This window comes from Homo sapiens, chromosome 7, assembly GCF_000001405.40.
Source record: "Homo sapiens chromosome 7, GRCh38.p14 Primary Assembly".
Lineage (NCBI taxonomy): Eukaryota > Metazoa > Chordata > Mammalia > Primates > Hominidae > Homo > Homo sapiens.
The window spans coordinates 133,251,660-133,263,997 of record NC_000007.14 but is presented as its reverse complement, the minus strand read 5'-3'; the positions used below and the strand labels follow the sequence as shown (position 1 = coordinate 133,263,997).

The 12,338-nt window shown below is 39.5% G+C and overlaps 1 protein-coding gene across 11 annotated transcripts in view, besides 2 other annotated features; it reads right to left on the bottom strand.

Moving 5' to 3' along the window:
• EXOC4 (exocyst complex component 4) overlaps positions 1 to 10,920 on the bottom strand; it is an 847,874-nt gene extending 836,954 nt beyond the window's left edge. For all 11 annotated transcript variants that reach the window (XR_007060126.1, XR_007060125.1, XR_007060123.1 and 8 more), the window contains exon 1: positions 10,811 to 10,920. Coding sequence is in view for 3 of the 11 variants with exons in the window: in NM_021807.4 (NP_068579.3) it covers positions 10,811 to 10,896 (86 nt within the window). In the remaining 8 variants the exon portion in view is untranslated. The remainder of the gene's footprint in view (positions 1 to 10,810) is intronic.
• Positions 10,834 to 10,893: an enhancer, noted in NCBI's record as "active region_26685". NCBI's record gives its function as "activates an Ori minimal core promoter by ATAC-STARR-seq in GM12878 lymphoblastoid cells {active_cell/tissue: GM12878}" and the evidence as "EXISTENCE:reporter gene assay evidence [ECO:0000049][PMID:35858748]".
• Positions 11,104 to 11,153: an enhancer, noted in NCBI's record as "active region_26684". NCBI's record gives its function as "activates an Ori minimal core promoter by ATAC-STARR-seq in GM12878 lymphoblastoid cells {active_cell/tissue: GM12878}" and the evidence as "EXISTENCE:reporter gene assay evidence [ECO:0000049][PMID:35858748]".

Here is a 12,338-nt window from a genome sequence, read left to right as displayed (position 1 = left end):
ACAATGTTTTACAAAAAATTAAGAGGTGTTATGTGGTCAAATTTTGGAAATTCTGGGTTATACAAATTGAAGCAGATTTCTTAAAGGCAGAAATCAGGGACACTTTAATATGTTATTGTTAAAGTGTCTAGGGGAGAGGGAAGAGGACATAAAGAATATATAGCACTTCTGTAATATACTAATCTATTAAAACATCAATCAATCAACCTGTTTCCCACCATCTTCCCTCCCCCCAACATATACATATGTAAACACACACACACATATAAATTTTTATGGAATTTTCAACCATGTACAAAAATTAAAAGATCTGTCAAATAGGCCAGGCACGGTGGCTCATGTAATCCCAGCACTTTGGGAGGCCAAGGCAGGCAGATTGCTTGAGGCCAGGAGTTTGAGACCAGCCTGGCCAACATGGTGAAACTCCCTGTCTACAAAAAATACAAAAACTAGCTGGGCATGGTGGCACACACCTGTAGTCCTCGCTACTCCGGAGGCTGAGGCACAAGAATTGCTTGAGCTTGGGAGGCAGAGGATGAAGTGAGCTGAGATCACACCACTGCACTCCAGCTTGGGTGACAGAGTGAGACCCTGTCTCAAAAAAAAAAAAAAAAAAAAAAAAAGAATGCTTTTTTAAAAAACATATCTATATAATGTTTATCTCAGAAAAAAAAATTTTAACAATTACAATTGGCTTCTTGTATCTCTTTTAATTAATGCAAAATATTTGTACATATTTATGGCACACATGTGATTTTGTAATATTCACAGACTGTGTAATGATCAAGTCAGGTGTATTAGTCTGTTCTCAAGATGCCAATAAAGACATACCTGAGACTAGGTAATTTATAAAGGGAAGAGGTTTAACTGACTTACAGTTCAGCATGGCTGAGGAGGCCTCACAATCATGGCAGAAGGCGAATGAGGAGCAAAGTCACATTTACATGGCAGCAGGCAAGAGAGAGCTTGTGCAGGGGAACTCTCATTTATAAAACCATCAGATCTCATGAGACTTATTCACTATCATGAGAACAGCACAGGAAAGACCTGCCCCCATGATTAAATTACCTCCTACCAGGTCCCTCCCATGACACATGGAAATTATGGGAGCTACAATTCAAGATGAGATTTGGGTGAGGACACAGCCAAACCATCAGGGTATTCAGGATATTCATCGTCACTAACATTTATCATTTCTATATGTTGAGAACATTTCAAGCCTGGGGTTTCTTGTTCTAAGGCTACCTAAACTTTATTGTGCTTTCAAATCACCTGGGAATCTTGTTTAAATGCAGATTCAGCTCAGGTAGGTCAGGTAGGACCTGAGATTCTGCATTTCTAACAAGCTCTCAAGTGATATTTTTAGTATAATTCTCCCATAATATTCAGCACAATGAATAGGTTTTAAATGGAAAAACACTTTAATTATATTCTATTTTATTTTGACAAAGACTCTGTACTTTTAAAAGAATAAATAAAAGTCAGAAAAGGGTCTCCTAAGAATCTTGAAATATTTTATTTTCTTACCAAGAGTGTCAAATATAATACAAGAATTTTCCCTTATTACTTCCTGTTAAACTGTACACACCTATGTTTTTCAAAGCTAAACCCCTAGCACATAAAAAAAAAAAAACTGGCCACTATAAGGACCAAGGTCATAATTTATTTCATGGCTTACTATGCTGCCCCAATGGGACTTGAACTCCTGAGCTCAAGCAATCCTCCCACCTCAGCCTGTAGTTGGGACTACAGGCACATATCACTGCACCCAGCTGCCATCGCTTTAAACAGCACATCTGAATATCTTATTCTTCCTCTCTGAGAAGATGCAATCCAAAATAGTACTTTTAGAGATTTTTTTTAAAATAAGAAGTACTGATGGACTTCTACTTTAGGCCCAGAAGAAACAACAGGGACTAACAAAGTAACGAACAAACAAATAAACAAAACCCGTTTCAAAACACTGCATATTAAGGTGGTTAGAATCTGCAGGGCAGTAATGGAGATGGGAAAGAGCTGCAGCACACGGAAGTCTGCAGATCTGTAGAGGGTCATCAGCTGGGTATTGATCAGCACACGTGTGACAGGTAACTACCCAAGGCCAGGAAAATAACAACCTGAAAGGATTAGAGGAAATAATGATCTGAACTCACACAGGGCTGGAAATAGTGCCTATCCCCCAGGCCAGAGTGAAAAAATTTCATAATTCTTAGGGTACTGAGTGGAATACTCAAAAGAATTTTGTCACAGTAGTGAGACAAACTTAGCCCTAGACTAAATGTTGCTCTGCTCCTAACTAGCAAAACATAAAACAAGGCCTGAGAAGACCAAATTGCTTCCAAGTAACTTAACCACATCTCAGAACAAAGCTCAAGAATAGTGGAATACAAAAATATCCAAAACCAACCACCATCAAGATAAAACTGACAATGTCTAGCATCAACTCAAAAACTACAAGGTGCCCGGGTGTGGTGGCTCACAGGCTGAGGCCTGCGGATTGCTTGAGGCCAGGAATTCAAGACCAGCCTGAGCAACATAGCAAAACCTAAAAATATATATGAAAATTAGCCGGGCGCAGTGGCACACAACTATAGTCTCAGCAACTTGGGAGGCTAAGTGGGGAGGATCACCTGAGCCTGGGAGGCAGAGGTTGCAGTGAGCAGAGATCACACTACTGCGCTCCAGCCTGGGCAAGAGAGCTAGACTCTGTCTCAAAAAGAAAAAAAAAAAAAAACTACAAGGCATGTAAAGGAAGAGGGAAAAAAAAATTAATCAATGGAAACCCAGAAATGACACAGATGATAAAATTAGTACACAAGGACATTAAAACTGTTATAATACCTATATTCCATTTGTTCACAAAGCTACAGGAAAAGTTAAAACATGTAAGCAGAGACATGAAAAAGACCCAAAGCAAACTTCCAGATAAAGAAGATAAGCTTCTGTATCTTAGATTGAAAAGTATAATCTAAGATAAAAATAATATTAGATAGGATTAGCAAGAGATTAGGAATAGCAGAAAAGACTAGTGAACCAGCATAGCAACACAAACTATATAAAACAAAACACCAAGAGAAAAAGAATGCATTTTTTAATGAACATCAACATTCCATGAACTGTAGCACAACTTGAAGTGGCCTAAAATAGAAATCTGACCAAAGACATATAAACCTAGACACTAAAATCTATACACACACACACACACAATTGCTGAGATCAATTGAAGAATTAAATGGAGACATATACCATCCATCCATGGATCAGAAGACTCAATATTAAGATGTCAATTCCATATATTAATCCCAATCAAAATCCCAGCAGGTTTTATTGCAGAAACTGACTAGCTTATTCTAAAATTTGTAAGAAAATGCAAACAACCTAGAAGACCCAAAACTACTTTGAAAAAGTAGAATAAAGTTAAAGGGGCCAGGCGCGGTGCCTCACACCTGTAATCCCTGCACTTTGGGAGGCCGAGGCAAGTGGGTCACTTGAGGTCAGGAGTTCAAGACCAGCCTGACCAACATGGTGAAATCCTGTCTCTACCAAAAATACAAAAATTAGCCGGGTGTGGTGGCGCACGCCTATAATCCCAGCTACTCAGGAGGCTGAAGCAGGAGAATTGTTTGAACCCGGGAGTCAGAGGTTGCAGTGAGCCAAGATGGTGCCATTGCACTCCAGCATGGGCGACAGAGCAAGACTCTGTCTCAAAAAAACAAAAAAAAAAAAACAGTTAAAGGGCTTACACTATGTCTTCATAACTTTAAAAAGCAGTAATCAAGACAGTGCAGTATTGTTATCAATATAAACATGAATGGAACAGACTAGAAAGTCAAGAAATAAACCCACACATATAAAGTAAATTGGTTTTTGACAAAGTTGCAAAAGAAAGCAAATACAGAAAGGATAGTCTTTTTAACAAGTGGTGTTGGAAATGGATATCCTTACACACACAAAAAAAAAAGTACTGGAAAAAACTGGTAGAGAAGGATCATTCTAGGATGCTGGAAGTGTTCTGTATCTCCAGCTGGGATGCTGGAAGTGTTCTGTATTTCCAGCTGGACAGTGGTTACACAGGTAAAAATTCATCAAGCCATATACTTAAGATTTGTGCACTCTAGCATATACATGTATACCTCAAAAAGGAGGACAAATAAAATTAGTATATAGAGTAAGATCCCATATTTAATAAAAAATTATTTCTGGCCATCAACATTTCATATACACACATACATTCACATAGAAAAGGGAGGGGTCTGGGATTAGGTTCATCTAATATCAATGATAATAACTTTAGGAGGATAAAATCTGAAATAATTTTTCTTACTTTCATCTTCACGGTTTTCTGCATTTTCACTGTTTGAATTATTTATCATGAGAGTACTATTTTTAAAACAATAGAGTGATTTTTTTTTTCTTAAACTGGAAGCAAAAGTATTAATAGTGGATAATGCTGGTGAAGAAAATACAAGTGGGCCGGGGACGGTGGCTCACGTCTGTAATCCCAACACTTTGGGAGGCCGAGGCAGGCCAATCACCTAAGGTCAGGAGTTTGAGACCAGCCTGGCCAACATGGTGAAACCCTGTCTCTACTAAAAATACATTCAATTAGCTGGGCATGGTGCCTGTAATCCCAGCTACTCAGGAGGCTGAGGCAGGAGAATCGCTTGAACCCAGGAGGCGGAGGCTGCAGAGAGCTGAGATGGCGCCACTGCACTCCAGCCTAGGTGACAAAGCAAGACTCTGCCTCAAAAAAAAAAAAAAAAAAGAAATTAAACTATGGGTGATTTTTTCTTCCCTACTGTTCTGTATGTTTAATTCCTCCACTTAAAAAACATATATAACTATGAACACTGTATAGCAATATTTTAAAAAATGTATATACATGGACAAGATCCATACGAAAACCTGAAAAACAGGTAATATTTTGGGAAATGAGATTGCTGGACAATGTTCCTATGACTCGTCTTTACAAATTTGTACAATACACAATATTGTTGTCCTTTTTATAAAGGACAACAAGGATTATCTCAACAGAGTATTGGGCCCTTGATTTGCTTGTTTATAGTCTTTTCAGTCTTTTAATCTAATAAATGTTTTATATTTTATGTGTGTTTATATTTTACATGTTTTACATACACACATAACCATACATGCATTTAAATCTAGCTTCTTCAGCTGACTCTCAAATTACCAAATAATTACTATCTTAATTCAGCTGTACAAGATTTCCTGGTTACAAAGACAACATCCTGACAAATGGAATCACTCCAGTCAACGCGTCAAGGTTATTTCTGGTGGAAAATTAACATTATAGCCTGGTTGCTATCCGGCAAATTTATTAATATCAAAAGAATCTTCTTAACAGAAGAGGCTACAGATCCTAGAAAGGAGGAAATGAACATATGAGTGCCTACCGTGTGCCAAACTGTGCTAGGCACTTTTATATACCCTCATCTCATGTGATGTTCCAAAAAAACACAGATTGTATTAGCCCACTTTCCAAATGAGGAAACTAAGACGCGGTGGTTTTAAGTAACTGTTCCAAGGTTACACAGGTAATACAGCAAGTTTCAACTACAACACACAACCACAGCAATTCACACCACAGGCTGTGACCACATCTATGTACAAATAATGGCTTGAAAAAACCTGACCATACCACCACCATCAATACTACAGGCCTCAAAGCCTTCAGGAAATCCCAGTGTTAACAGTTACACGAGGTACACTAAGACATGGGTCCACGACACTAATTCTGAGCCAGAGTACGGTAATTGTGTTGCCCCTTACGTTCACATATGCTGCCAGACATCCCAGGACTTCCTGAAAGCACTGTTTCTGGGTATTCTAGTAGTAATTTTCAAACAACACAGCATCAGTAGGGCCAAGATGTCCCAGGGTACAAAGAGAGCTAGAAACCAAACACCATTATGTGATGGGCTCAAATGAAAAGAAGAGATGGTGATGGAAAGAACATTAACACCTCACCCAACTTCCAAGACTCGGCTCAGAACAGAGTGACTACTTTCCTTTCCTGCCACAAACTGTGTCACGAACCTCAAAGCTGTTCGTTCAAAGCCCTGGTCAAAGCCTGGACCCCTTCAACAAAGTTTACTTTGAATTAAACACAGGGCTGACCAAAATACTCTCCAAGGAGGAAGGGAATTTAACAGGTGTCTACAGTAAAGGATTTTCTAAGTTTTTGAAATTTCAACTTCTGTGAAGACATAAAAGTTGATGAAAATGTGAGCCTTCCACTGCCTTCAAACCTCCTTGACATCTGTAACCAGAGTGTGTCTTCAAAAGCTCTGCTCCAAGGTTTCAATAAGGTCTCCTGAAGTCACAACCAAAGTTTGTCTTCCCAATTAAACTGGTTATTACAGGCCAAGTTATAAAGTGACACAACATTTAATTGGAAAGCAAATCACCTAACAGTAAGTGGCAGACACATTTCCCAATTAAAAATCTGGCAAGAACTCACAGAAATAAAATATCTCCAAAATGCCATCTTTCTTATTTCCCATCTAGAGAGGCTGCCTCCTCTGACTTCCCACCAAACAAAAGGTTGGCAAAGGAAATCAACAGAAAAGTAGAAAAATTGTGTGTGTGCACGTGTGTGTGTGTGTGTGTGCGTGTGTGTAAACCATCCAAATTGTACATCAGCAGGTCAACAGAAAAGTAGGTGTGTGTCTGTGTGTGTGTAAAACTGTCCAAATCATACATCACACATCAGCACGTAATCAGGATTCTGTCCCCCCCGGTTAGTTCCATTTTAAAGGGCCAGTGGCAAGACTTAAAACCAAAAGCTGCAGTTGGCAGTAGCCTCCGACAAACTGAATCCCAACCACTATCTGTCCCCTCACCTAAGCCCCACCTCACAGGCCTAAGGGCCTCTTCTGTAAAGCCCTGGAAGTCCACCCTTTGAAACATCTGACTGCCCTGAAATATTTTTATTCGATAATTTTTAAATAATTAAGCATTTTTATTTGAGTCTCAAAGCACTTAAAAAATCATATAATACTTGCATTACAATTACACTATACTTCATCTTTATTTTTGGCTTTTAAATGCTTTAAAGTTTAAATACTTTATACTAGCAAAATAGAGTCGTTATTTAACTATTTAGTACAAGGGCTGGAAATAGCGATGAGATTCGGATATTCCCCATGCCTACACATACTCTGTCCTTAAGTCAAACCCTTATCCACCTGTAGTTTTTTGAATACAATATTAAAAATGACTAACAATAAATGCTACCCCAACTGTTAGGAAAAGCATTGAAAAAATACAAAATTTTATGATACATAATGTAGTACAGAAATTACATTTTTACACATCTGAGCAAGAGAATTAAAGGAGCATTTTTAATACTCACTATTCAAAAAAGAAAAACTACTACTCAGTGATACAAAAAGATATTTTTTAAAAAGCTAAACTGATCAAACTTTTCAAAAGACAGTAGACTCTCTAACTGTCGGTAATTTATTTTGTGACAAAATAAGTCCATGGAAACATGAAAGGAGCTAGCAGGTACCCGGTACATGTTAGGAATGCTCAGACCTTATAAACACGAGCCTAACATGGGTTTTCCTTTTTGTGGCTTGTTGCCAAAGCAACCAGGAAAACTATAGCCTTTGGGAGAGAATTTGAAAACAACGTTAAAGATAGGAGGAGATAATCAAAGTTTTATATGAGGAATTAAGAAAAAATGAATGCAGACCAGGCGCGGTGGCTCACGCCTGTAATCCCAGCACTTTGGGAGGCCAAGGCGGGTGGATCACAAGGTCAGGAGATCAAAACCATCCTGGCTAACATGGTGAAACCCTGCCTCTACTAAAAATACAAAACATTAGTCGGGTATGGTGGCGCATGCCTGTAGTCCCAGCTACTCGGGAGGTTGAGGCAGGAGAATGGTGTGAACCCGGAAGGCGGAGCTTGCAGTGAGCCAAGATTGCGCCACTGCACTCCAGCCTGGGCGACAGAGAGAGACTCCAGGACTACGTCTCAAAAAAAAAAAAAGGAATAATGAATACAATGTTGCAAGAAGGGAAACACAAAGGACATAAATTGAACAGAAATACAAGAAGCAACTTCCAAGTGACAGCACAATTTACTAACAAGAAACATACATTCCTGGTTCTCTTACCCGCAGGACTCTCCCCCCATTCCCCATCCCAAACACCAAAGTAATACTTCCATTGTCCTCTCATTCACTACCACTGTTTATAAAATTTAAACCACTGGGTATGTTCAAAAGCATATTAGGAAGGAAATAACAGGAAGTTATAGCTACCAACATCCTCACTCCAACACCAAAATCTCCCTGTGACTCAAAGAAATGTTGAAATACAAACACCAACACCATTCGGTCTTAAGGTCATATATAACAATGCATCCCAAGCCTTAATAAACTTGCCCAGGATACTAGGTCTAGACATTCCCTTACACCATGCTTGTAAAAACTATATCACAAAAGTGTTATGCAGTGATCTGAGGTGGTCAAGGATAAAGTAGAAAAATGAGGGCTGGGCACGGTGGTTCATGCCTGTAATCCCAGCATTTTGGGAGGCCAAGGCAGGCAGACAACAAGGTCAAGCGATCGAGACCATCCTGGCCAATATGGTGAAACCCTGTATCTACCAAAAATACAAAAATTAGGTGGGTGTGGTGGCGCACGCCTATAATCCCAGCTATGCGGGAAGCTGAAGCAGAAGAATCACTTGAACCTGGGAGGCGGAGGTTGCAGTGAGCCGAGATCGCGCCACTGCACTCCAGCCTGGGGACAGAGCAAGACTCTGTCTCAAAAAAAAAGAAAAGAAAAGAAAAGAAAAGCAATATAATGCACAACAGAGATCAAAGTAAAAAATACCTAGGCCTAAATCACAGTGATAAAATGAAGGTCATATATTAATAAACTGGCATAAGAGATGGATGGATAACCACAAAATCTTAGCCATCAAGCAGTAGGGGGTTCCTCCTGGAGAATATTAAGGAATGGTCAAGCAAAGGCAATGTATGTTCTGAATTAGCATTAGTAAAAAAAGCTTTAGGTTGGCTTTCATGCTGTTTTCAAAAATATGACATTTAGAGTAAATTCAACTGGCCCTGAGGAAAATACAAATAGCATAAAAGAAATGGGAACAGCCTGGAGAATCAAAAGTACACAGATGAGATGACACATTTCACTTTCATTAGAAACAGCCACTCCTCCTGGATTTCCATAACATTTCATGTCTCTCTCGTAGTCTTATGTCATCATTTTTACTGACATGTTTTATCCCCCAGGTAAACTATACTCTCCTCAAGGGTAACACTGTGCCTGCTTCATCTTTGCAAAACTCAGGGCATTTACTCATTAAGTCAACAAATATTATTCAATATGTAATACGTGCCAGACGCCATACTGTCAACTGGCACTAAATACCTATTGTTTAAATAAATGTTGACTATAAGGTAGAAAAAACAAACAAGTTCAAAAAAGGATCCAAATAATGTCCTGGTATTCTAATTCCACAGGAAATTCAGATGGGAAACAACAAACATTCTTATTGGAATTTTAGTATCATGAGATACATCTACACTACCTGCGTATTGTCACAGCGAGAATGTGGGCCTATAGATTCACAATACAACAGCACTTCCTCTGTATGGCCTACCAAGTATATTAAGCATTTCCACACAGAGATGTTTTTCTCTTAAGCCCAAAAGAAAATTAAAGTAATGATTTAATAGGCCATAATCTTAAAGCCTCCTAAATAAGACCCATAAGATGTGTCTTTGTCAGTGAGTGGTAAGCTGTTCTAATGGTTTGATACATGCATTCATTGAAGTGCTTAGTACCTACCAGATAATGTTGGGCCCTGGGTTTTGAAAAGATGATCAATACATTCCAGAAAACTTGCAAGAACTCAAACAAAAGTTTAGTATAGGTGGGGAAAAATAGAGTGTTTGTTTATGAAAAATAAACGAGTTGAAATTCAAATGCCAACAACGTAAAAAACGTGCCATAATAAATTTTATTTAGATTGGTTTTAGTCAGTACCTGCATCATATCCAAGATTCTTGAAAGGGTTCCCCCATCCTCAATATATTTCGCTTTTTTAAAAAAAAGCTCCTAAAAGATCCACCGCTCCCACTCCACCCCCACCCTAATCTTCTGGGAGGTGCAGAGGGGCAGTGCATGGAGGATAATTTGAAATTGGTTTGGTTCTGTTTTTTAAGGAATGGACCAGAATGCGGAGGCAGGGCAAAAAATTGAAAACCGATGTGTGCCTTCAAACCCAGTCCTCCTACCAGCTCACTGCAGATTCTTGTATTTGTGGCTGTGGCCACGCACAGGTGGTTGAAAGTATCCAGAGTGTGAAAACACAAATCTGCAACTCGTGACAGGAATCTCCGGACTCCAAGGCCTTACACCCCAAAGTCCAGGAAACAAGACGCCTTTCTCAGTGAGTGCTGCTACAGGCAAACAATAAACAAGCATTTTAGGAATCAATAAACACACCTTTACACCTGGTTTTCTCTACCAAACCCAAATAGCGTGCTTTGGGGTCCCGAGACTGTAATAGAAGGTGCTGCCCCTAAAGAAAAGACTGAGGCGGGGCTCCTCTCTCTATAGCTAACCCCAGAAAAAAAAGGTGGAGGGGGAATTGCTGGGGCCCTGGGGAGGGGTTAGAGCCCTGGGGAGGGGCTGCGGGAGGCAAGGAGGAAAGGGGAGAGCAGGGTGGGACCCAGCTAACCCTTCTCCCTTCCAAAGCGGAGGTCGAGCCGCTGCCCCCAGTCCCCAGACCCTGCCTCCTGCCTCCCTCACCTGATCACAGAGATGAGCAGCCCCGAGGGGTCTTTGCTTTTGCTGACTGTGCTTCTGTATTTCCCACCAGCTGCTTCTGCCGCCATCTTGGACGCGGGGAGAGCCGCTAGGCTCCAAGGAAGCCAAGGGTGCGTAAATTCTGTATTTGACCCCGCAGGAGTCTCCACCAATGGGTGAAGAGAATTCCAGAGGCGCGGAAGTGGAAAATCCAATCACTGAAGTGAGGAGGCGGGACTAAGGGAGCAAGTTTTGAGGCCACGACGCGCGTGTTCTCTCTAAGCACTCTGGGAGTCGTAGTTTTCCTTCTCCGTCTCCTGGGCGCGCAGGAAAGCTAAACCAGCTGCAACTTCCTAAGTCTTGTAATGAGTGTCTTCATTTATCTTTATTCTGACTTCCAGCTTTTTTCAGTTTCCTTGCTTTTAGAATTTTGTCAGGCTTTAAATCAAATTTATCTGATGATGCCAAAATGTGTTAGGGTTTGTATTTAAATGAAAGAGGGGTTCTCTGCCGGATGTCTATGTGCGAAGTTTTTGCCTTAAGTGCAAGTGATTTTTTAAAAAATCCAATAAAATACGAAAATGAATATAAGCAGAAATGCTTTTCTTTAGTATTCTGTAAAACTAATGTTTCTACATTAGGTTTATGTGGAGTTCAATTTTTCCCAATGTTCCTATATTTCCAGATAGTTCTAAAACCACACGTACAGGAATAAATGAATATTGATGAAGAAAAGACAGTATAAGCTAAAAACAAACAGACCACACTGCAGATTCCTTTTTTTTTTTTTTCAAGCTAAATGAAATACTTAGTAGTAATGCACATTTGTGTTAATACTTTTACCGGTAAGTTTTTAGTATTTCCTGCATTTGGTTCCGTTGGCTTAGTCATTAATTCATAAGACCAAATGAACAAAACAAAACAAAAAAGACCAGAATGTGCGTGGAAAGTGGTTAGACTGAGGAACAAGAATAATAATAATTTAAAAGTAAGGAAGGAGGTGGCCTGCTCAGTAGCAATAAAGATTGAAGAACTTAAAGGAATAGAAAGCAAACTAACTCAGAGGTCATGGAGTTGTGAGCAGCAAGCTCAGAACACATCAATTACTTTTATTAAATAGACATCGAGCTGGTAGAAGTTCACATTTTTAAAAATTAGTTGAAGATAACACACACACACACACACACACGATAACTTAAAAGTATTCATAACCTTTGGCCCAATAATTCCAGTTCTAGGGACTTTGTTCCTAAAGAAATATAGAGTATTGACATTTTTTAAATAACACAGAAGAATTAAATAAATTATGTAACATTCAAATGAGGAAATAACATATAGCTTCTGGAAATCATAATTTTAATGGCTTTTAAAGAAAATAAGATTTTTGGGCCAAGTGTGATGGCTCACACCTGTAATCCCAACACTTTTTGAGAGGCAGAGCCGAGCAGACCACTTGAGGCCAGGAGTTTAAGACAAGCCTGGCCAACATGGTGAAACTCCGTCTCTACTAAAAATGCAAAAGTTAGCCGGA